The sequence below is a fragment of the Homo sapiens genome, chromosome 19, assembly GCF_000001405.40.
Source record: "Homo sapiens chromosome 19, GRCh38.p14 Primary Assembly".
Taxonomy (NCBI): Eukaryota; Metazoa; Chordata; class Mammalia; order Primates; family Hominidae; genus Homo; species Homo sapiens.
This window is the reverse complement of record NC_000019.10, coordinates 53604380-53629196: the sequence shown is the minus strand read 5'-3', so window position 1 is coordinate 53629196 and position 24817 is coordinate 53604380. Positions and strand designations below refer to the sequence as shown.

Sequence of the window (24817 nt, the reverse complement as noted above, 5' to 3'; positions counted from 1 at the left end):
GATTACAGGTGTGCACTAACACGCCTGGCTAATTTTCGTATTTTTAGTAGAGACCTGGTTTCACCATGTTGGCCAGGCTGGTCTCAAACTCCTGGCCTCAAGTGATCTGCCCGCCTCGGCCTCCCAAAGTGCTGAGATTACTGGTGTGAGCCACTGCGCCAAGCCCCTTTTACAGCTGAATTATACTCCATTGTATGGATAAACCATATTGTTTAATCCATTCATTTGTGGATGGACAGGCCGGGAGGAGGAGGGAGTGGGGAATACCTGCTTATGGGACTTTATTTTAGAGTTAGGAAAGTGTTTTGGGGCCAGGCATGGTGGCTCACATCTGTAATCCCAGCACTTGAGAGGCCGAGGCGGGTGGATCACCTGAGGTCAGGAATTTGAGACCAGCCTGGCCAACATGGAGAAACCTCATCTCTACTAAAAATACAAAATTAGCCGGGTGCGGTGGCACATGCCTGTAATCCCAGCTACTCGGGAAGCTGAGGCAGGACAATCATTTGAACCTGGGAGGCAGAGGTGGCGGTGAGTGGAGATCGTGTCATTGCCCTCCTGCCCGGGCAAGAAGAGCGAAACTCTGTCTCAAAAAAAAAAACAGAAAGAAAAAGTTTTGGAACTACCTAGAGGTGGTGGTTGCACAACACTGTGATGTACTAAATGCCACCGAACCGCTTATTTTTAAATGGTTAATTATATGTTATTCGTATGTCACCACAGTTAGAGAAAAACACTAAGAAGTGTCAAAGTTCACTTATCAGAGCTACAAAGACCTGCTTTCCCTCATGCTGGTACCATTAGTCCAAAGATGCTAAACCCAAGGACTGATTATTTTTATTTTTATTATATTTGAGACAGGGTCTTGCTCTGTTGCTCAGGATAGAGCACAGTGGTATTTTATTTTATTTTATTTTAGGTTTCAGAGACAAGGTCTCACTGTGTTACCCAGGCTGGTCTCAACCTCCAGGATCAAGTAATCCTCCCACCTCAGCCTCCCAAATCACTGGGATTATAGGCGTGGGCCACTGCACCCAGCAACTTTGATTACATGTATCTTTGGGTATACTTTTGCCCCTTATCCTGGGTTAAAGGTAGGGCCAGCTACTGTATGTTGACATCAGAACAGCCCAAGCGCTTGCTTTAGAAATTTTTTTTTATTTTTGAGATGGAGTCTTACTCTGTCGCCCAGGCTGGAGTTCAGTGGCTTGATCTCAGCTCACTGCAACCTCCGCCTCCCGGATTCAAGCAATTCTCCTGCCTCAGCCTCCTAAATAACTGGGATTACAGGCAAGCGCCACCATGCCCAGGTAATTTTTGTATTTGCCACGTTGGCCAGGCTGGTCTCGAACTCCTGATTGCAAGTGATCTCCCCGCCTCGGCCTCCCAAAGTGCTGGGAGTACAGGCGTGAGCCACCACACCCAGACAAAAACTTTTTGTGTTAAGAAAAACATCTTGGCTGGGCACGGTGGCTCATGTCTGTACTCCCAGCACTTTGGGAGGCCGAGGTGGGCGGATCACCTGAGGTCAGGAGTTCGAGACCAGCCAGGCCAACGTGGCGACAGCCCGTCTCTGCTAAAAAAGTACAAAAATTAGCTGGGCATGGTGGTAGGCGCCTGTGATCCCAGCTACTGGGGAGGCTGAGGCAGGAGAATTGCTTGAACCTGGGAGGCAGAGGTTGCAGTGAGCCAAGATCACGCCATTGCACTCCAGCCTGGGCAATAAGAGTGAACTCTGTCTCCAAAAAAAAAAAAAAGAAAGAAAGAAAGAAAAACATCTCTCCCTTCCAAGTCCTTCTCCAGGAGTTCTTCCACTCCTTCCCTCTTGTGAGAGGCCTCAGTATATTAATTAAGTGTTCTCAGTGATGCTTACTGGAGTCTGAAAAAGCACACCTCAAGGATAAGCCTGCTTTTAAGGGGAGAAAAGAAGACTTGAATGAACAAAGTTTACAAGTCTTAGTGGTGGTTTTCAAAGACAGCTGTATATTATCATTCTCAGGATTATAAGAAAATGCCTTCGGCTTCACTCCAGGCTCAGTCCACTTGAATCTCTGCGGGTGGAGTCTAAGTACGAGGATTTGTAAATAATCCTTCTACTGCGCAAATAGGGCTGGAAACCGCTGGCTCTGTTGCCATGTTTAGAGGGATTAAATTGGTGTCCTAAAGAATCACCTTGGAGGCTGAGAAGTCAAGATGTGCAACAGAGGGGCCACGAGCAGTCAACCCCAGCACTTTGGGAGGTCGAGGCAGGCAGATCACCTGAGGTCAGGAGTTCAAGACCAGCCTGGGCAACATAGTGAAACCCTGACTCTACTAGAAATACAAAAAAAATTAGCCAGGCGTGATGGCAGGCGCCTATAATCCCAGCTACTCGGGAGGCTGAGGCACCAGAATTGCTTGAACCCTGGAGGCGGAGGCTACAGTAAGCCAAGATGACGCCACTGCACCCCAGCCTGGGAGAGAGTAAAAAGATGTCGAACAGAGTGCTTGAGACGGCCCATGAGAACCTCACGCCTTGACTAACACTCATTGCCAAACCGGAAGACCAGTCCTGGGAAGGAGTCTGGCCACCACTCCCAGAATATCACTGGGATTAATATGATCTGTGCCTGGGGCACAATCTCTAGTCTTTTTTTCTTTTTGGAGATAGAGTCTCCCTCTGTCTCCCAGGCTGGAGTGCAGTGCTGTGATCCCAGCTCACTGCAGCCTTGACCTCCTGGGCTCAAGCGATCAGCCTCCTCAGTAGGTAGCTGGGACTAGGGTGCCTGCCACCATGCACAGCTAATTAAAACTTTTTTTGTAGAGATGGGGGTCTCACGGTGGGGCGTGGTGGCTTATGCCTGTAATCCCAGCACTGTGGGAGGCAGAGGCAGGTGGATCACCTGAGGTGAGGAGTGTGAGACCAGCCTAGCCAACATGGTGAAAACCCATCTCTACTAAAAATACAAAAATTAGCTGGGGCCAGTCACGGTGGCTCACGTCTGTATTCCCAGCATTTTGGGAAGCCAAGGCTGGTGGATCGCTTGAGGTCAGGAGTTTGTGACCAGCCTGGGCAACATGGTGAAGTCTCGTCTGTACCAAAAATACAAAAAATTAGCTGGGTTTGGTGGCACGTGCCTGTAGTCCCTGTTACTCAGGAGGCTGAGGTGGGAGGACCACTTGAGCCTTGGAGGCAGATGTTGCAGTGAGCCGAGATTATGCCCCTGCACTCTAGCCTGGGTGACAGAGTGAGACCCTGACACACACAAAAAAGGGGGGGCACTGGGCACAGTGGCTCACACCTGTAATCCCAGCACTATGGGAGGCTGAGGCAGGCAGATCACCTGAGGTCAGGAGTTCCAGACCAGCCTGGCCAACATGGTGAAACCCCGTCTCTACTAAAGACACAAAAATTAGCCGGGTGCGGTGACACACACTTGTAGCCCCAGCTACCTGGGAGGCTGAGGCAGGAGAATCACTTGAACCTGGAAGGTGAAGGTTGCAGTGAGCTGAGATCACACCATTGCCCTCCAGCCTGGGCAACACGGTGAGACTCCCTCTCAAAAAAAAAAAAGGAATTATGAGAAGAGGCAGAGGCATGAGATCTCTGTGTCTCATGTTAATGTTCTCCAGGGAGTGCTCACCACAGAGAAGATCCTGAGCAACCAGGAAGAGAGGGTGCCTTGTGCAGTGGGCATCACTGAGGCTCTATCCTCAGACCACTGCTTGTATAATGCACCCATGAACAGAGACGCGGTAGCAGGGTAGCAGGAGAAGAGACGAAGGATGTGCCTAATAGCATGAGCTGTCTCTCATGAAAGCTGAGCTCATTATCACAGCCTGGGAGTTTCTGGCTGTGATCAGGGCCAGACACGCTGGCTCATGCCTGTGATAAGAGTACCAGTGAGAGGCCGAGGCGGGAGGATCGCTTGAGGCCAGGAGTTTGAGATGAGTCTGGGTAAAAAAGCCAAATCCTGTCTCTACAAAAAAAATTTTTCAATTAGCCAGGCATGGAGGCATGCACCTATAGTCCTAGTACTCCAGAGGCTAAGGCAGGAGGATCGCTTGAGCCCAGAAGGTTGAGCTATGGTGGTGCCACTGCACTCTAGGCTGGGCGACAGAGCGAGACCCTGTCTCAAAAAAAAAAAAAAAAAAGCCCATGATGACACCTTGATCTGCTATTGTCCTTTAAGGGGAATGACTGACTAGTTAGTGGTAAGTTGATTACATTTCATCCTTTCCCCCGGAGAGGGCAGTGGTGGAGGTGATTGATTTGTGCTTCCTGTTTCTGTGACCATACCACCGGGAACACGCCCGATCTCATCTGATTTGTATTTCCTGGAATTGATGTGTTTTCTTTCTTTCTTTCTTTCTTTTTTTTTTTTTTTGTGACTGTCGCCCAGGCTGGAGTGCAATGGCCTGATCTCAGCTCACTGCAATGCCCGTCTCCCGGGTTCAAGCGATTCTCGTGCCTCAGTTTCCCGAGTAGGTGTAAGCCACCAGGCCCAGCCATTTTCTAACATCCTTGTAATCCCAGCACTTTGGGAGGCCAAGGCAGGTGGATCACTTGTGGCCAGGAGTTCAAGACCAGCCTGGCCAACATGGTGAAACCCCATCTCTACTAAAAATACAAAACAAAAGGCTGGGCACAGTGGCTCACGCCTGTAATCCCAACTACTCAGAAGGCTGAGGTAAGAGTACGGCTTGAAACTGGGAGGCTTCAGTGAACCGAGGTTGCAGTGAGCCAAGATCAAGCCACTGCACTCTAGCCTGGGCGACAGAGTGAGACTCTGTCTCAAAAAAAACAAAAAACAAAACAAAAAAACAGCTGGGCATGGTGGCTCCCTGTGCCTGTAATCCCAGCCCTTTGGGAGGCCAGGGAGGGCAGATCACCTGAGGTCAGGAGTTTGAGACCAGCCTGGGCAACAGGCAAAACCCCGTCTCTACTAAAAAAGTACAAAAATTAGCTGGGCGTGGTGGCGGGCACCTGTGATCCCAGCTACTCAGGAGGCTGAGGCAGAAGGATTGCTTGAACCTGGGAGGCAGAGGTTGAAGTGAGTCGAGATTGCGCCACTGCACTCCAGCCTGGGTGACAGAGCAAGACCCTGTCTCAAAAAAAAAAAAAAAAAAAAAAAAAAGGTACAACAATCAGTGCATTAATATGAAATACACTCTTTACATCGCATATTTATTACCTTATACAGAAAGAGCTGCCATCATGGGATAACATAATGGTTATTATTTATTTATTTATTTATTTATTTTTTGAGACGGAGTTTCACTCTTGTTGCCCTGGCTGGAGTGCAATGGCGCAATCTTGGCTCACTGCAACCCCTGCCTCCTGGGTTCAAGAGGTTCTCCTCCCTCAGCCTCCTGAGTAACTGGGATTACAGGCGCCTGCCATCATGTCCAGCTAATTGTGTATTTTTAGTAGAGACGGGGTTTCACCATGTTGGCCAGGCTGGTGTCAAACTCCTGACCTCAGGTAATTCACTTACTTTGGCAAGCGTAATCCCAAAGTGTTGGGATTACAGGCGTGAGCCATTGCGCCAGGCCAGGAATGGCTTTTTGTTTTTTTTGAGATGGAGTTTCACTCTCGTTGCCCAGGTTGGAGTGCAATGGTGCAATCTCTGCTCACTGCAACCTCTGCCTCCCGGATTCAAGCGATTCTCCTTCCTCAGCCTCCCAAGTAGCTGGGATTATAGGCATGTGCCACCATGCCAGGCTAATTTTGTATTTTTAGTAGAAATAGGGTTTCTCCATGTTGGTCAGGCTGGTCTCAAACTCCCAACCTCAGGTGATCCGCCCTCCTCGGCCTCCCAAAGTGCTGGGATTACAGGCGTGAGCCACCATGCCCAGCCAGGAATGGCCTTTTATTTATTTATTTATTTATTTATTTATTTATTTTTTTGAGACAGAGTCTCACTCTGTCGCCCAGGCTGGAGTGCAGTGGCACAGTCTCAGCTCACTGCAACCTCCACCTCCTGGGTTCACGCCATTCTCCTGCCTCAGCCTTCTGAATAGCTGGGACTACAGGCGCCTGCCACCAGGCCCAGCTAATTTTTTTTGTATTTTTGGTAGATACAGGGTTCCACCATGTTAGCCAGGATGGTCTCGATCTCCTGACCTCGTGATCCGCCCGCCTCAGCCTCCCAAAGTGCTGGGATTACAGGTGTGAGCCACCGGGCTTGGCCCAGGAATGGCTTTTTAAAGGGCTCAACTAAAGTGTCAGCCCAGGTATAACATCCCATGGGTTTGGGGTGCTGTCCTCTAAGATGCAATATCTGCATATAACCAACAGTCAATATAAGGGGCTGTGACCCTAGTAGTTAGAATATACAGGTGTAGCTACCAGGGAGTGAAACAGAATTGGCATTTATCAATATCCTGTCTAGGGACCCACTTGAAGAAATTGTGCTTCTAGTCCCCAAACCTTATCTGGCGTGATGTCTTCATTTTTGAAGAGGGAACACTTTCACCAAGAAGCACAGTAAGGTTTTCTGCCTGGTGACTGTGGGCTCTTCAGGCTGATAAAGCACTGGGCAGAGAAATGAGGTAGTTGGCGGGCATGGATAATCAACCACGAGCATTATGAAGAGACTGGGTTGCTGCTGCATATTGGGCAGGAAGGTTCTTGTCTGGAACTCAGAGAATTCCCCATGCCCAGCAGGAAGTTGCACAACCACAGCCCTGTAAAAGTACAGTAACTGAGATAACACCAAGGGAGGGTAGAATCAGACTCTTAATAAGACGAGGTCTCATTATGTTACCTAGGCTGATCTTACGCTTCTGGGCTCAAGTGATCTTCCTGCCTCAGTCTCCCAAAATGCTGGGATTGTAGGCATGAACCACCACGCCCAGCCCCTCTCTCTCTCTCTCTTAACTAAATATGTGACGCTGACATTTTCCAGTGGCTCATGCCCATAAACCCCTAAATTCCTTGTTTACTGCAAGACATCAAGAAAGAACAAGTATGTCCTGCTGAAAGCATCTCACAGATAAGAATCTCTGGTTGTTTTCCTCTAATAAATACCATGAGATCTGATTAGCATGTTTACAAAGAAGTTTGACCAAGGGATGCCTCCTCAGACATCACCAGGTTGGGAGAAAGAATGGATTATAGACTAGTTAACCTTTTCCTTCCTAGCAACACCAGACTCAGATCTCTCAGAAACAAAGGCCTGAGTCACCCTAGCAGGCAAATGAGTTACAAAAAATGAAGTACTGGCCCACCATGAGGAAATGTAGACGACGTGGGGGAAACAGATGAGTATCAGTAATGGTTTGGGGCCCACATAACAATGAGGATTGTAGTTTGCTCTGGTAAACATATTGTATTGAAAATTTTAAATAGCTATAGCAGCCTACAAATGCGTGCCTAAGAATGTGCAGAAACTATTTTTTTCTAGGAAAGATTGCCTTTTGTTTTTTTTTGGAACAGAGTCTTGCTCTGTTTCCCAGGGTGGAGTGCAGTGGCGTGATCTTGACTTACTGCAACCTCTACCTCCAGGTTCAACCGATTCTCCTGCCTCAACCTCCCTAGCAGCTGGGATTACAGGTGCTGACCACCATGCCCAGCTAATTTTTTGTATTAGCGTTTCACCATGTTGGCCAGGCTGGTCTGGAACTCCTGACCTAAAGTGATCAGTCTGCCTCAGCCTCCCAAAGTGCCGGGATTATAGACGTGAGCCACCATGCCTGGCCTGTATTGAAAATTTTATATAGATCGTGGCTGGATCTTTGCTTCAAGACTTAATGACTAAATGAACTTACATATAGAAATGAGGCTGGGTGCAGTGGCTTATGCCTGTAATCCCAGCACTTTGGGAGGCACGGGTGGGAGGATCATTTGAGGCCAGGAGTTCAAGACCAATCTGGGCAACAGAGCAAGCCCTTGCCTCTACAAAAAATAAAAAAATTAGCCGGGCACTGTGGCATGCAACTGCAGTCCCAGCTACTCCAGAGGCTGAGGCAGGAGGATTGCTTGAACCCGGGGGGTTGGGACTTTAGTGAACCTTAATTGTGCCCCTGCAATCTAGCCTGGGTGACACAGTGAGACCTTGTATCTGAAAAAAAATAAAAAATAAAAAATATGGAAATGAGCATTTTCAAGAAGCACAAGGATTGTTCAGTAGCAGATGTCCATATCATACTCTCTTGTACACCTCTAATTTTAACCTGAGCCTCACTGTTCAGTCTCATGAAAGCAGAGACTCACTTGATTCTACCATACTCTCACCTCATGCACGTGCCATACATCTTTGTAGTATTTTGCTCTGGGGTCCTTTCTGCTGTCATTTATCCCATAGAAAATAGCTTTGGCAGGCTGGGCATGGTGGCCCACGCCTGTAATCCCAGCACTTTGGGCGGCTGAGGCAAGTGGATCACCTGAGGTCAGGAATTCGAGACCAGCCTGGGCAACAAGGTGAAAACCCGTCTCTACTAAAAATACAAAATTTAGAGATCATGCCACTGCACTCCAGCCTGGGCAACAGAGTGAGACTTGGTCTCAAAACAACAATAACAAAAAATTTAAAATGGAAAATAGCTTTGCCCCGGGCGGGGTGGCTCACACCTGTAATCCCAGCACTTTGGGAGGCCAAGGCAGACAGATCACTTGAGGCCAGGAGTTCGAGACCAGCCTGACCAACATGGTGAAACCCCATCTCTACCAAAAAATGCAAAAAATTAGCCGGGCATAGTGACGCATGTCTGTAATCCCAGCTGCTCAGGAGGCTGAGGCAGGAGAATCTCTTGAACCCAGGGGGCAGAGGTTGCAGTGAGCCAAGATCACACCACTGCACTCCAGCCTAGGGGACAGAGGAAGACCCTGTCTAAAGAAGAAAATAGGCCGGGTACGGTGGCTCACACCTGTAATGTCAGCACTTTGGGAGGCCAAGGTGGGCGGATCATGAGGTCAGGAGATCGAGACCATCCTGGCTAACATGGTGAAACCCTGTCTCTACTAAAAATACAAAAAAACAGCCGGGCAAGGTGGCAGGTGCCTGTAGTCCCAGCTACTGGGGAGGCTGAGGCAGGAGAATGGCTTGAACCCGGGAGGCGGAGCTTGCAGTGAGGCGAGATCACGCTATAGCACTCTAGCCTGGGGGACAGAGCGAGACCCTGTCTAAAGAAGAAAGTAGCTTTGAACTGCAGGAAGTCAACATGTCTCAGGGAAAGCCTCACCCAATGTGGGATGAAATTTGGCACAGAAATGTCCCAGTCTTTCATCTCTGTGACAGGGGATGAGGCAGGGGATGATAAGAGGAAGCGTAAACAGTCTTCAACAGGCTTCAAAGGAATCAAGCCCTCATTGTCCACTTCACAGACTTCAGCAACTTATCCTTTTTTTTTTTTTTTTTTGAGATAGAGTCTCACTCTGTCACCCAGGCTGGAGTGCAGTGGCATGATCTCGGCTCACTGCAATCTCCACCTCCCAGGTTCAAGCAATTCTCCTGCCTTTGCCTCCTGAGTAGCTAGGACCACAGGCGTCTGCCACCAGGCCCAGCTAATTTTTTCTGTTTTTTGTTTTTTTTTTTTTTGAGATGAAGTTTCACTCTTGTCGCCCAGGCTGGAGTGCAATGGCACGATCTCGGCTCATCGCAACCTCCGCCTCCCAGGTTCAAGTGATTCTCCTGCCTCAGCCTCCCAAGTAGCTGGGATTACAAGCATGCACCACCACGCAAGGCTAATTTTTGTATTTTTAGTAGAGACAGGGTTTCTCCATGTTGCTCAGGCTGGTCTCTAACTCCCAACCTCAGGTGATCCGCCCGTCTCGGCCTCACAAAGTGCTAGGATTACAGGCGTGAGCCACCGCACCCGGCCTGTTTTCTGCATTTTTAGTAGAGACAGAGTTTCACTATGTTGGCCAGGCTGGTCTCAAACTCCCGACCTTGTGATCTGCTCGCCTCGGATTCCCAAAGTGCTGGGATTACAGGCATGAGCCACCACGCCTGGCCTCAACATGTCCTTAGATAAGGTGTTGGCTCCCCATCCTTTCCTGTCTTACTCTCCCTGCTACCTCCCTCTTGGTTTAGGATCACATTCTAAATAAACCTCTGGAACTGAAGCCTTTGTATCAGTGTCTGCTTTAGAGAACCCAAATTAAGTTAGTGTCATTCCGATCAACAGAATGGAGGCAGAGATACAATCAACAGGGATGTAAAAAGGACATGAAAATGAAAGGTCTCCATTTCCCTAGAAAAGATTAATCTGTTACAAGGATAAAAGACTACTGGCTGGGCGCGGTGGCTCACACCTGTAATCCCAGCACTTTGGGAGGCCGAGGCGGGTGGATCACCTGAGGTCAGGGGTTCAAGACCAGCCTGACAAACATGGCAAAACCCTGTCTCTGCTAAAAGTACAAAATTAGCCGGGTTTGGTGGCGTATGCCTGTAATCCCAGCTACTTGGGAGGCTGAGGCAGGAGAATTGCTTGAACCTGGGAGGTGGAGGTTGCAGTGAGCCAAGATAGTGCCACTGCACTCCAGCCTGGGTGACAGAGCAAGTCTCCGTCCAAAAAAAAAAAAATCTGGAGACAATATGAATAATTTCCATTTTTCTATCTCTGAGTCTTTAGTACTCTTTTTTTTTTTTTTTTTTTAGAGATGGGGTCTTGCTATGTTGCCCAGACTGGTCTCCCAACTCCTTGAACTCCTTGGTTCAAGCGATCCACCCACCTTGGCATCCCAAAGTGCTAGGATTACAGGCATGAGCTACCATGTCCATAGTAGTGTTTATTTTTTATTTTTTCTTATTTTGTTTTTTAATTAGTATTTATTTCTGTTCCTTTCATACATGTTATTGTTCAGGCAGCAGTCTTACATACCTATCTGAAATAATCTACCATCACACACTCTAGTTAAAGCCAAAGCTCCGTAGGTAAAGCTGACCAGCTGTCCAGAGTTCTCAGCTCATGGAATCTTGCTTCTTGATTTTATGTTAATTTCTGAAAGTCAGAAATGTCATCTCCAAAAAGTGTTAAGGGGGTTGTAAAAAATAATCACTATATTTGCTATTATAGTTGTAGGTATGCAGTATATTTTCTTTTCTTTCTTTCTTTCTTTTTTTTTTTTTGAAACAGAGTCTCGCTCTGTCGCCCAGGCTGGAGTGCAGTGGCAGCGATCTAGGCTCACTGCAGCCTCCGCCTCCCAGGTTCACGTGATTCTCCTGCCTCAGCCTTCCAAGTAGCTGGGATTACAGGTGCCCCGCCACCACCACGCCCGGCTAATTTTTGTATTTTTAGTAGAGATGGGGTTTCAACATGGTGGCCAGGCTGGTCTGGAACTCCTGACCTCGTGATCTGCCCACCTTGGCCTCCCAAAGTGCTGGGACTACAGAAGTGAGCCACCGCGCCTGGCTTGTATTTTCTTAAAGAAATAAAAAACTAAGAAGAAAATGCCACTCATCATCATTGGTATAGCAATGTGGTCAGCAGGAAAAGAAAATACTGTGATAAATTTGTCTCTTTAATAAAGAAGAAATTCTAGTCCAAGCTTCAATACACTTCCTGGTTTTTCACTAGATATTTCTTTTACTGCTGCTCTTCCTTCTTTTCTACATCTCATATTAGAGGATTGGACAGCCTTTAAAACTTCATTGACAGGAGCAAATCCAGTATGCACTGATTTCTTTTTTTTTTTCTTTTTTTTTTTTTTGGTGAGACGGAGATTTACTCTTGTTGTCCAGGCTGGAGTGCAATGGTGCGATCTCGGCTCACCGCATCCTCTGCCTCCCGGGTTCAAGCAATTCTCCTGCCTCAGCCTCCCGAGTAGCTGGGATTACAGACATGTGTCACCACGCCTGGCTAATTTTGTATTTGTAGTAGGGATGGGGTTTTACCATGTTGCCCAGGCTGATCTCGAACTCCTGACCTCAGATAATCCGCTCGCCTCGGCCTCCCAAAGTGCTGGGATTACAGGCGTGAGCCACTGCACCCAGCCTGATTTCTTCTTAAAGGCACTCTAACCCATCAGAGAGCCCGGTAGTTTCATTCTCACGAATACTCTAGCCGTGAAAAAAACTCAATAGGACACAGACGAATCCAACGAATAGAAGAAGAAATCTATTGAGTTTTGGGATATTTGGTGCATTCGATCGGTCCAGGATTATGAAACCTAAACCTCCCATTGTAAACAGGAAGCTGGATCCAAGTCCTTCCATAATAATATTGTCCACTTACTCTGTAGGCCAAGAAAGCTACTGGCCTCTGATGCCCTTGTTCATCAGTCATAGAGCCAACACCTGGCGGTTCAACCGTAACATCATAAACGATTCCTCTGGTGATGAGGAAGTAAGACACCACCACCAGAGCATACATAGTCATGGCCAACGGCATGTGCAGCCAGGGCGGCTTCTTCAGCTTCAGGTTGGGACATTCAAGCGCTAAGAACGGGACACGGTACAAAGTCTCCATGTTGGTGGCAGCAAGGGCCATTCTCGGCCTCTATTTTTTCTTATTTTTTGAGACAGAGTTTCGCTCTTGTTGCCCAGGCTGGAATGCAATGGTGCGATCTTGGCTCATTGCAACCTCTGCCTATGAGGTTCAAGGGATTCTCCCGCCTCAGTTTCCCAAGTAGCCGGAATTACAGGCATGCACCACCAAACCTGGCTAATTTTGTATTTTTAGCAGAGATGGGGTTTTGCCATGTTGGTTAGGCTGGTCTCGAACTCCTGACCTCAAGTGATCCACCCGCCTCAGCCTCCCAAAGTGCTGGGATTACAGGCGTGAGCCACCATGCCAGGTCCAGTACAGTCTTTTAAATAAATGACACTGGGACAGCTGAACATCCATATGGAAAAAAGGTGTTTGACCTCCACCCCATGCTATATATACGGAAGATTAATTCTAGTGGGTTGTAGATTGAATTGTAAAGGCAGAACAATGAAGTTTACAGAAGAGCTTCATGTCTTCACGCTAGGGAAACACTTCTTTTTTATTTTATTTTTTATTTATTTATTTTTTTTGAGACAGAGTTTCACTCTTGTTGCCCAGGCTGGAGTGCAATGGCGCAATCTCGGGTCACTGCAACCTCCGCCTCCTGGATTCAAGCGATTCTCCTGCCTCAGCCTCCCGAATAGCTGGGATTACAGACATGCACCACCACGCCCAGCTAATTTTGTACTTTTAGTAGAGACAGGGTTTCTCCATGTTGGTCAGGCTGGTCTCGAACTGCTGACCTTAGGTGATCCACCCGCCTCGGCGTCCCAAAGTGCTGGGATTACAGGGGTGAGCCACCACACCCAGCCCCGCCTTTTTTAATTTTTAATTTAAAAAAATTGGAGACAAGGGTTTCACTATGTTGCCCAAGCTGGTCTTGAACTCCTGGGTTCAAGTGATCCTCCCACCTTGGCCTCCCAAAGTGCTAGGATTGCAGGTGTGAGCCACCACACCCAGCCAGGAAACACCTCTTAAACAGAAGAAAAAAATGCTAACCATAACAGGAAAAATCGAACTTTTCATTATATTAAAATTAAGAAAAATAAAAAGTAATAAAAGAGGACTGTAGTAAAAAAATAAATAAAAATAAAATTAAGGATTTATATTAATCAGAAGAAACTAGGAAAAGATTTCCCATAACATAATAGCAGGAACCTAAATCTGAATCTTCATACATTCTTTAAAATTAGACAGCTCTGGGCCAGGCACAGTGGCTCGCACCTGTAATCCTAGCATTTTGGGAGGCCAAGGTGGGCGGATCACTGGAAGTCAGGAGTTTGAGACCAGCCTGGCCAACATGGCAAAACCCCGTCTCTGCTAAAAATACAAAAATTAGCCAGGCGTGGTGGCACGCACCTGTAATCCCAGCTACTCAGGAGGCTGAGGTAGGAAAATCACTTGAACCCAGGAGGTGGAGGTTACATTGAGCCAAGATCACGCCACTGCACTCCAGCCTGAGTGACAGAGTGAGACTGCGTCTCAAAGAAAAAAAAAAATTAGACAGATCTGGCTGGACACAGTAGCTCATGCCTATAATCCCAGCATTTTGGGAGGCTGAGGTGGGCGGGTCACCTAAGGCCAGGAGTTCGAGACCAGCCTGGTCAATATGGTGAAACTCTGTCTCTACTACAAGTCCAAAAAATTAGCTGGGCATGATGGCATTGAGAGGCTGAAGCACTCCAGCCTGGGTGACAGAGGAAGAATCCGTCTAAAAAAAAAATTAGATAGATCAACAGAACAAAGTAAATTACAAATTAAACACCCACAACTATAGCACCACAAATGATCTTTTTAAAAGTATATATTTAACTGAAAAAAAAAATAGAGAGACAGGGTCTTTCTATGTTCCCCAGGCTGGTCTGAAACTCCTGGGCTCAAGAGATCCTCCTGCCTTAGCCTCCCAAAGTGTTAGGATTACTGGTGTGAGCCACCATGCCTGGCCACAAATGATCTTAACCCTACCTAATCCTAGACACAAAAATCTACAAATGAACTGCAGACCTAAAATCAGAAAATAAAACAATGTTTTGTTTTAGAAGACAACACAGAAGAATGTCTTTATTACATAGAGGTAAGCTAACATTTGCTAGATAGGACCCAAAAATTTTTACAATGAAGAAAATATATAAATTAGACTATATTAAAATTAAGGACTTTTTGCTATAACAAGATGTCTTAGAAAATAAAATAAAATTAACGACTTCTGTTTCATTAAAAATTTTTTTTTTCTTTTTCAAACTTTTGGAGAGATGAGGGTCTCGCTATGTTGCCCAGGTTGGTCTTGAACTCCTGGTCTCAAGTAATTCTTCCACCTAGGCCTCTGAAAGTATTGAGATTACAGGCGTGAGCCACCGTGGTCCGCCTATTAAGGGTCTTCTTCCTCTTTCACCCAGGCTGGAGTGCAGTGGTAAGAGCATAGCTCATTGCTGCCTCAAACTCCCAGGCTCAAGGGATCCTTCCTTCTCAGCCTCCAAGTAGCTGGGACCACAGGCACGCACCATCGCTCATGGACAATTTAAAGATTCTTTTAGGCCAGGTGCAGTGGCTCACGCCTGTAATCCCAGCACTTTGGGAGGCCGAGGCGGGCAGATTACGAGGTCAGGAAATTGAGACCATCCTAGCTAACATGGTGAAACCCCATCTCTACTAAAAATACAAAAAATTAGCAGGGCGTGGTGGTGTGCACCTGTAGTCCCAGCACTTGGGAGGCTGAGGCAGAAGACTGGCATGAACCCAGGAGGCAGGGTTTGCAGTGAGCCGAGATCAGGCCACTGCACTCCAGCCTGGGCAACAGAGTGAGACTTTGTCTCAAAAAAAAAAAACAAAGGAAATACTACCCACTGGAGAAATGGGCAAAAGGCTTGGACACATATTTTACAAAGGCAAAATATCCACACGGCCAATAAACGTAGGAAAAAAAAATCCTCAATCTCCTTCGTCATTGGAGAAGTGGTCCTTGAGAATTATTTAGGGGGGCTCATTAGGGGCCATGTTCTGTCCCAATTCCGTATGAAACTCTTGTTATGTGGGTTTGAAATGATTCCAAACGCATCGTTTGGGGTTGTGGAGTACACTCTTCCCTTCCTTCTAGTGCGTGACTTCTTATCAGATCTCACAAGAGGCCAGGCGCGGTGGCTCATGCCTGTAGTCCCAGCACTTTGGGAGGCCGAGGTGGGCAGATCCCTTGGGGTCAGGAGTTTGAGACTGGCCTGGCCAACATGGTGAAACCCCCGTCTCTACTAAAAATACAAAAAAAAAAAAAAAATTAGCGGGGCATGATGGCACGCACCCGTAATTCCAGATACTTGGGAGGCTGAGGCAGGATAATTGCTAGAACCTGGGAGGTGAAGGTTACAGTCGAGCTGAGATGGTGCCACTGCACTCCAGCCTGGGTGACAGAGCGAGATTCCATCTCAACAACAACAACAAAGATCTCACACGTGACAACGTGCAGTGACCTCCCCCCTCCTCTTGGACCCCATATGTGAGCTGTTGATTTTGGTCTTTGAAATACATAGATCCACAAGAGTTTGACAGGCGCTTTGAAAGCTTAGACTGTGGCAGGCTAATATTGGGGCTCAGAAACCGATAACCTCAAAACAAAGGCTTCCGAAGCAGCTTCAGAAGCGGAAGTTTCTTCCTGACCCTCCTTCTCCCCCAAGGCTAGCCATAGAAACTAGAAACTGTCTTTCCCAAAGTGAGCCATAGACACCAGAATCCCTTTTCCCCAAATCCTGCCATAAAACCTAAAATCTCTGACTCTAATTTTCCCTCCATCTTCCCTGTAAACACTGACCATAAAGGAATTCCTGTCCTATCTTGTTTGGTTTTAGGTCTATGACCCTCATTCCAGAGAGGCTTCTGCCCTCTGCCCAGCAGGAGGGAAGGCTGCTCAGAGAGGCCAGGAGGAATGCAGAGAGACAGGTTTGCTGGGTTCCCCGTCCGCCCGACCCCTGCAGTCTATGACCTTTAGATCAGATCCATTTTGTCCAATCCTATTTCTTTTCTTTCTTCCTTTTTTAAAAATATTCTTTAACATAGAGAGGGGGTCTTTTTTTTCTTTTTTTCTTTTTGAGACCGAGTCTCACTCTGTTGCCCAGGCTGGAATGCCGTGGCACAATCTCAGCTCACTGCAACCTCCGCCTCCCGGGTTCAAGCCATTCTCCTGTCCCGGCCTCCCAATTAGCTAGGATTACAGGCGCCTGCCAGCATGGCCGGCTAATTTTTGTATTTTTCATAGAGACGAGGTTTCACCATGTTGGCCAGGCTGGTCTCGAACGCCTGACCTCAAGTGATCCACCTGCCTCGGCCTCCCAAAGAGCTGGGATTACAGGCGTGAGCCACTGCACCCGGCCACGTCCAATCCTATTTCTATGCTGCTGTCTGCTTTTTTGTGTTTTGTTTTTGAGACCGGTTTCACTCTGTTGTCCAGGCAGTGGTAGGATCATAGCTCACTGCAACCTCAACCTCCTGGGTTCAAGCCACCCTCCTGTCTCAGCCTCCTAACTAGCTGGGACTACAGGTGTATGCCACCATGCCCACTCATTTTTAAATTTTTTGTAGAGATGGGGTCTTCCTATGTTTCTCAGGCTGGTCTTGAATTCCTGGGCTCAAGCGATTCTCCTGCCTTGGCCCCCCAATGTGTTAGTGTTTTACAGGCGTGAGCCACTGCACCACCCAGCTTACTTTTTTTTTTGAGGTGGAGTCTCGCTCTGTCACCCAGGCTAGAGTGCAGTGGCACGATCTCGGCTCACGGCAACCTCCACCTCCCGGATTCAAGCAATTCTCCTGTCTCAGCCTCCCGAGTAGCTGGGATTACAGGCGCCCACCACCATGCCCGGCTAATTTTTGTATTTTTAACAGAGACGGGTTTTCACCATATTGGTCAGGCTGGTCTCAAACTCCTGACCTCAGGTGATCCACCTGCCTCGGCCTTCCAGAGTGCTGGGATTCCAGGCGTGAGCCACTGCGCCCAGCCAGTTCACCTCAAATTTGAATTAGACTTTACTTTTCACATAGTCCTTCCTCCATCCTGTGAGCAACAGGACTTTAAAAATTTGGAACTCACTCACTATTCGGTTAACGTACTTTGCCTACAGAGTGCATTCTATGAAGTGTGTTCGTGTTATTCTTCTCCTCCTTAAGCATTGTCAATGTTTTTTTTAAAAATCTCTTTTTATGTCAATAAACTGTGGAAGGCATGAAATCGTACCGCAATCATCTCCTTATTTCCACCATAAATATTAGGGCCAGGCGCGGAGGCTCGTGCCTATAATCCCAGAACTTTGGGAGGCTGAGGCGGGTGGATCACTTCAGCCCAGGAGTCCAAGACCAGTGTAGGCAACATGGCAAAACCCCATCTGTACCAAAAATACAAAAATTATCTGGGTGTGGTAATGTGGGACTATAGTCCCAGCTACTCAGGAGGCTCAAGTGGGAGGATGCCTTGAGCCTGCTGCACTCCAGCCTGAGTGACACAGCGAGACCATGTCTCAAAAAAAAATTTAAAAAAATTATCATGAGAGCACTTTTTGTCTTGCAAAAAGGATTTTTTGTTTTTTTTAGAAGGTCACTTTGTGGCTGGGCTCTGTGGCTCGCGCCTGTAATCCCAGTGCTTTCAGAGGCCGAGGCAGTTGGATCACCTGAGGTCAGGAGTTTGAGACCAGCCTGGCCAACATGGTGAAACCTTGTCTCTACTAAAAATACAAAAATTGGTCAGGCATGGTGTTGGTTGCCTGTAATCCCAGCTACTTGGAGGCTGAGGGAGGAGAATCGTTTGAACCTGGGAGGCGGAGGTTTCATTGAGCCGAGATGGTCCCACTGCACTCCAGCCTGGGAGACAGAGCGAGACTCCATCTCAAAGAAAAACAAGAACAAAACAGCGTACAGTGCTCTGTCTGAAGGTGGCCTCCTTATTTGTCTACAATCAGTGGTGTCCAATCTTTTGGCTTCCCTGGGCCACATTGGAAGAAGAAGAATTGTCTCCGGGTACACATAAAATACACTAACGATAGCTGATGGGCTGAAAAAAACCCAGAATCACAAACAAACTCGTAATGTTTTAAGAAAGTTTCTGAATTTGTGTGGGACCACATTCAAAGCCATCCTGAGCTGCAGGCAGCCTATGGGCCGCTGGTTGGACAAGCTGGGACTCCACATCAGCCCTTGCACCTGCCCCCGGCAGAGCTCCAGCTTCAGGTGTGTTTCTTCACTATAATTTACTAAACCTGCAGCTAAGCTTTCTAAGTGGCAATATTTCACTTAGGGTGGTATAAAATTAAAACAGCCAATGAAGGGAACTTTTTTCTTATTTGATACATAATAATTGTACATATTAATGGGGCACGTGATATTTTGATACATGAATGGAGTAGGTAATGATCATCATGTCACGGCATCTAGGATATCCAACCCCTCACCCATGGATCATTTCTTTTTCCTTCTTCTTTTTTCTTTTTTCGAGACAGAGTCTTGCTCTGTCGCCCAGGCTGGAGTGCAATGGTGTGATCTCTGCTCACTGCAACCTCTGCCACCCAGTTTCAAGCAATTCTCCTGGCTCAGCCTCCTGAGTAGCTGGGATTACAGGCATAAATGCCACCACACCCGCCTAATTTTTTTTTTTTTTTTTGAGACACAGTTTTGCTCTTGTCACCCAGGCTGGAGTGCAGTGGCCCAATCTCGGCTCACGGCAACCTCTGCCTCCCAGGTTCAAGTGATTCTCCTCACTCAGCCTCCCAAGTAGCTGGGATTACAGGTGTGGGCACCACCCCTGGCTTATTTTTATTTTTATTTTTTGAGATGGAGTCTTGCTCTGTTGCCCAGGCTGGAGTGCAGTGGCATGATGTCAGCCCACCACAACCTCCACCTCCCGGGTTCAAGCAATTCTCCTTCCTCAGCCTCCCAAGTACCTGGGACTATAGGTGTGTGCCACCACGTCCAGCTAATTTTTGTATTTTTAGTAGAGACAGGGTTTCACCATGTTGGCCAGGCTGGTCCCAAACTCCTGACTTCAGGTGACCTGCCCGCCTTGGCCTCCCAAAGTGCTGGGATTATGCCCAGCCAATTTTTGGATTTTTAGTAGAGACGGGGTTTTGCCATGTTGGTCAGGCTGGTCTAGAACCCCTGATCTCAGGTGATCTGCCCACTTCGGCCTTTCAAAGTGCTGGGATTACAGGAGTGAGCCACGGTGGCCAGCCGGTACACACGTGGATTTATTTCTGGATTTTCTATACTGTACCATTGCTCTATATGTTTGGGGTTTTTTTTGTTTCTGGTTTGGTTGTTTTTTTTTTTTTTTTTTTTTTTTTTTTTTTGAGACCGAGTCTCGCTCTGTCGCCCAGGCTAAAGTACAGTGGTGTGGTCTTGGCTCACAGCAGCCTCAGTCTTCAGGTTCAAGCGCTTCTCCTGCCTCAGCCTCCTGGGTAGCTCCGATTATAGGCGCCTGCCACCATGCGCAGCTAATTTTTGTATTTTTTGTAGAGATGGGGTTTCACCATGTTGCCCAGGCTGGTCTTGAACTCCTGAGCTCAAGGGATCTGCCCCTCTTGGCCTCCCAAAGTGCTGGGATTACAGGTGTGAGCCACAATACCCAGCCATATGTCTGTTTTTATACCAATACCATGTTGTTTTGGTTACCAGAGCCTTCTGATATGTTTTGAAGTCAGGTAACATGATGTCTCCAGCTTTATTCTTTTTGTTCAGGATTCCTTTTGCTATTTGAGCTCTTTTTGTTTCCAAATGAATTGTAAGGTCTTTCTTTTCTTTCTCGCTTTCTTTCTTTCTTTCTCTTTCTTTCTTTTCTTTCCTTTTTTTTTTTTTTTTTTTTTGACGGAGTCTCACTCTGTCCGCCCAGGCTGGAGTGCAGTGGCGCGATCTTGGCTCACTGCAACCTCTGCCTCCCAGCTTCACACCATTCTCCTGCCTCAGCCTCCCGAGTAGCTGGGACTACAGGCGCCCGCCACCATGCCCGGCTAATTTTTCTGTGTATTTTTAGTAGATACAGGGTTTCACCATGTTAGCCAGGATGGTCTCAATCTCCTTACCTCGTGATCCGCCCGCCTCAGCCTCCCAGAGTGCTGGGATTACAGGCGTGAGCCACTGCGCCTGGCCTGAAATGAACCATTTGAAAGCATGCAGTTCAGTGGCATTTAGTACATCCACGGCATTGTGCAGCTGCCACTTCCATCTAATTGGGAAACGTTTTCATCACCCCTGCGGGAAACCCTGCACCCTTTAGGCGGTCGTTCCCCATTCCCTTTGGCTCCTGGCAACCACGGATCTGCCTTCTGTCTCTGTGGGTTTATTTATTCTGGATATTCCATGTTTCCCACAGGACTGCTGGCTCTGGGAGCTCGGGAGTCAGCCTGGGGTTCCAAAGTCTTCACAGGTGTGAACCTTTTGGTTCTGAGCTGCGTCATCTTCTCCGGCTTCATCAAGGGAGATCTGCACAACTGGCAGCTCACAGACGCCGACTACAAATGGGCCGAGCTGGGGTGGTCCAACGACACCCACAGGTGAGGGCACAGGTTTATTTTATTTTTTTTTATTTTTTAATTTTAATTTTAATTTTTATTTATTTTTATTTATTTATTTATTTACTTTTTTTTTTTGAGATGGAGTCTCACTCTGTCACCCAGGCTGGAGTGCAGTGGCACGATCTCGGCTCATGCAACCTCTGCCTCCCGGGTTCAAGCGATTCTCCTGCCTCAGCCTCCGAGTAGCTGGGATTACAGGTACCTGCCACCATGCTCGGCTAATTTTTGTATTTTTAATAGAGATGGGGTTTTACCACGTTGGCCAGGCTGGTCTCGAACTCCTGACCTCCATTGATCTGTCCACCTCTGACTCCCAAAGTGCTAGGATTTCAGGTGTGACCCACTGTGCCTGGCCTGTTTTTTTATTTTCAAATTTACCTTTATTTTTATTTTTTGAGATGGAGTCTCACTCTGTCGCCCAGGCCAAATTTCGGTCGCACAATTTCAGCTCACTGCAACCTCTGCCTCCCGGGTTCAAGCGATTCTCCTGCTTCAGCCACCTGGGATTACAGGTGCGTGCCACCACACCCGGCCAATTTGGTTTTTTTTTTTTTTTGGTAGAGACGGGGTTTCACCATGTTGGCCAGGCTGGTCTCAAACTCCTGACCTCAGGTGATCTGCCCACCTTGGCCTCTCAAAGTGCTGGGATTACAGGTGTGAACCACTCACTGCTCCCAGCCTAAAACTTATTTTTATTTTTTGAAACAGGGTCTTGCTCTGTCCCTCAGGCTGGAGTGCAGTAGCACGATCATGGCTCACTGCAGCCTCTACCTCCCAGGCTCAAGCAATCATCTAGAGTAGCTAGGACTAGAGGTGTGCACCACCACACCTAGCTAAGTTTTTAAATTTTTGTAGAGATGGGGTTTTGCCATGTTGCCCAGGCTGGTCTCAACCTCTGGGCTCAAGTGATCCACCTGACTCAGCCTCCCAAAGTGCTGGGATTATAGGCGTGAGCCATTGCAACTGGCCAGAGGTGCCCTCTTGGACACAGGAGTGGGGCCTGGGGTGCAGAACCTGGACTATTGTGGGAATAGGGGGAATCTGGGTTGACGGAGCCAGATGATGGGGAGTGGGGATGGCAGTGGGGGCCCCGGGCTTGTGGAATTAACTGAGCAGTTGGAGTTAACTGAGTCGTCCCAGAAAGACGGCTGCACACCTTACCAATGTTTCTTGTTCCTTCTGTCCCCGTAGCTCGGGCTCCCTGGGCTCTGGAGGGTTTGTGCCTTTTGGCTTTGGCGTGATTCTCCATGGAGCGGCCACGTGTTTCTTTGCATTTGTGGGTTTTGATGGCATTGCCACCACAGGTAACACGGTCATTCTGTCTCATCGGGGGTTTGGGCACTGTTTGGGCTGCCGCTGGGCACAGGTTTCATTAAAGGCTACCCTGTTCTCAGATGGGGAAGAGGGAAGAGGGTTTTGTACCTTCACTTCCGTGCATTTTCCTGGCCCAGTGCGTATACCTGTCCTGCAGGAGAAGAAGCCCTCCACCCTCACCGCCCGGTGCATATACCTGTCCCGCAGGAGAAGAAGCCCTCCACCCTCACCGCCCGGTGCATATACCTGTCCCGCAGGAGAAGAAGCCCTCCACCCTCACCGCCTCCACCCTCACCGCTCCATCCCCTTGGGCACTGTGACCTCGATCTTCATCTGCTTCTTGGCCTATTTTGGTGTCTCAGCGGCGCTCACCCTCATAGTGCCCCTACTACCTGATATGTCCCGAGAACCCCTTGCCGGAGGCTTTTGTCCACATTGGATGGGCCCCCATCAGATATGCTGTGGCCGTCGGCACCCTCTGTGCCCTTTCCTCCAGGTCAGTGCTGGATGCTCTCTCCCTGTCTGCTGTCTGGTTCTCGGGTGTCCTGGGCCTTGGTAAAGGGAGGAGACGTTTCACCCACGGAGGCGACAGAGCAGAAGCCCCAGTCCCTCTTGCTTCCTGAGTCCCCATGCGTGTTCCCGTTTTCTCCTGCATGCAGCCTCCTGGGTGCCACGTTCCCCACGCCTCGCGTGCTCTAGTCAATGGCTGAGGACAGGCTCCTTTTCTGCGGACTCGCCCGGATCCACGCCCACACCAGCACCCCTGTGGTGGCCACTGTCGTTGCTGGGACCCTTGCAGGTAAAGGCCCAGAATCCAGGCTTTCTTTCATCCATTTTCTATGAGTTAGTTCCTCATCCTCCCCCACAGCCCATCCATTTTTGCTTTTATTATTATTCATCAATTTTTTTAAAAAGTTGGCTATTACAAAAGTTTATTTAATAAAAAGTTTAACAGGAAAATGGGACTAGGCTCAGTGGCTCACGCCTATAACCCCAGCACTTTGGGAGGCTGAGGTGGGAGGATTGCTTGATCCCAGGAGTTCAAGACCACCCTGGGCAACACAGGGAGACTTCCATCTCAACAAAAATTAAAAAAAAAGTTAGCCAGGCATGCTGGAACGTGCCTGTAGTCCCAGCTACTGGGGAGGCTCAAGTGGGAGGATTGCTTGAGCCCAGGAGGTTGAGGCTTCAGTGAGCTGAGGTCACACCACTGCACGCCAGCCTGGGTGACAAAGCAAGACCCTGTCTCAAAATAAAATAAAATAATTAAAATAAATACAATACAATACAATATAGAAAATGGGGCGGGGTGCAGTGCCTGATGCCTGTAACCCCCGTACTTTGGGAGGCCAAGGCAGAATCACTTGAGCCCAGGAGTTTGAGACCAGCCTGGGCAACATAGCCAGACCCTGAGATCATTTTTTTGTCTCTGCAAAAAAATTTTTAACAATTAGTTGGCTGTGGGAGGCGGAGCTTGCTGTGAGCTAAGATCGCGCCACTGCCCTCCAGCCTGAGCGACAGAGCGAGACTCCGTCTCAAAAAAAAAAAAAAAAATTAGCTGGGTGTGGTGGTACACCTGTAGTCCCAGCTACTCGGGAGGCTGAGGTGGGAGGATGGCTTGAGCGCAGCAGGTTAGGGCTGCAGGGAGGTATGATGATTCCTGTTTAAAAAAAAAAAATTAAAGAAAATGTACATAATCTGACTTTTGTTGTTGTTGAGACAGGATCTCACTCTTACCCATGCCAGTGTACAGTGGCACCACACCTGGCTAATATTCAAATTTTGTAGAGGCGGGGGTCTGTGTTGCCCAGGCTGATGTGGAACCTCTGGGCTCAAGCAGTCCGCCTGCCTCGGCCTCCCTAAGTGCTGAGATTACAGGCATGAGCCCCTGCACCTGGCCACATTCCTATTATTAATTAACACAATAATTGTACATATTCGTGGGGTACAGTGTGATATTTCCATACATGTATACAAGATGTAATAATCAAATCAAGGTAATATCATAACCATCACTTCAAACATTGATTATTTCCTTGCATTGGGAACACTGAAAACCTATTTTTCCAGCTCTTTTTTTTTTTTTTTGGAGACAGAGTCTCGCTCTGTAGCCCAGGCTGCAGTGCAGTGGCACGATCTCAGCTCACTGCAACCTCCGCCTCCCAGGTCCACGCGATTCTCCTGCCTCAGCCTCCGGAGTAGCTGGGATTACAGGCATGTGCTACCACACCCAGCTAATTTTTGTATTTTTAGTAGAGATGACGTTTCACCATGTTGGCCAGGGTGGTCTTGAACTCCTGACCTCAGGTGATCCGCTCACCTTAGCCTTCCAAAGTGCTTTTCCAGCTCTTATAAGTTGTTAACGACAGTCACCCTCTAGTGCTGTGGAACATTGGAACTCACCCTGTTTTGAGCCCTGACTATAGCAATCATGGCTTTCCTGTTTGAGTTCAGTGACCTTGTGAGCCTCTTGTCCATCGGGACTATGCTTGCTTACTCCTTGGTGGCTTTTTCTGTTCTTGTCCTCAGGTGAGACTGGGGTCCTAGACACG

General features: G+C 48.0%; 1 protein-coding gene and 2 pseudogenes across 3 annotated transcripts in view, besides 5 other annotated features; 1 reads left to right on the top strand and 2 right to left on the bottom strand.

Moving 5' to 3' along the window:
• The window catches only part of DPRX (divergent-paired related homeobox), a 35901-nt gene that overhangs the window by 7818 nt on the left and 3266 nt on the right, over positions 1-24817 (bottom strand). The window contains exon 1 of one of the 3 annotated variants that reach the window (XM_011527012.3): positions 22113-22188. The exons of the other annotated variants lie outside the window; for them this stretch is intronic. The gene's annotated coding sequence lies outside the window, so the exon portion shown is untranslated. Of the gene's footprint in view, positions 1-22112; positions 22189-24817 lie in introns of those variants that run through there. 3 annotated transcript variants of the gene reach the window in all.
• Positions 9749-10249: an enhancer, noted in NCBI's record as "H3K4me1 hESC enhancer chr19:54122202-54122702 (GRCh37/hg19 assembly coordinates)". NCBI's record gives its function as "activates a minimal SCP1, AML or CMV promoter by ChIP-STARR-seq in primed H9 embryonic stem cells {active_cell/tissue: H9 hESC(primed)}" and the evidence as "EXISTENCE:reporter gene assay evidence [ECO:0000049][PMID:30033119]".
• OSTCP3 (oligosaccharyltransferase complex subunit pseudogene 3) lies at positions 11895-12424 on the bottom strand (annotated as a pseudogene).
• Positions 14458-15451: an enhancer, noted in NCBI's record as "NANOG-H3K27ac-H3K4me1 hESC enhancer chr19:54117000-54117993 (GRCh37/hg19 assembly coordinates)". NCBI's record gives its function as "activates a minimal SCP1, AML or CMV promoter by ChIP-STARR-seq in naive and primed H9 embryonic stem cells {active_cell/tissue: H9 hESC(naive and primed)}" and the evidence as "EXISTENCE:reporter gene assay evidence [ECO:0000049][PMID:30033119]".
• Positions 15452-16446: an enhancer, noted in NCBI's record as "NANOG-H3K27ac-H3K4me1 hESC enhancer chr19:54116005-54116999 (GRCh37/hg19 assembly coordinates)". NCBI's record gives its function as "activates a minimal SCP1, AML or CMV promoter by ChIP-STARR-seq in naive and primed H9 embryonic stem cells {active_cell/tissue: H9 hESC(naive and primed)}" and the evidence as "EXISTENCE:reporter gene assay evidence [ECO:0000049][PMID:30033119]".
• Positions 16447-17440: an enhancer, noted in NCBI's record as "H3K27ac-H3K4me1 hESC enhancer chr19:54115011-54116004 (GRCh37/hg19 assembly coordinates)". NCBI's record gives its function as "activates a minimal SCP1, AML or CMV promoter by ChIP-STARR-seq in primed H9 embryonic stem cells {active_cell/tissue: H9 hESC(primed)}" and the evidence as "EXISTENCE:reporter gene assay evidence [ECO:0000049][PMID:30033119]".
• On the top strand, positions 22141-23063 carry LOC100422610 (solute carrier family 7 member 3 pseudogene; annotated as a pseudogene).
• Positions 22605-23132: an enhancer, noted in NCBI's record as "H3K4me1 hESC enhancer chr19:54109319-54109846 (GRCh37/hg19 assembly coordinates)". NCBI's record gives its function as "activates a minimal SCP1, AML or CMV promoter by ChIP-STARR-seq in naive H9 embryonic stem cells {active_cell/tissue: H9 hESC(naive)}" and the evidence as "EXISTENCE:reporter gene assay evidence [ECO:0000049][PMID:30033119]".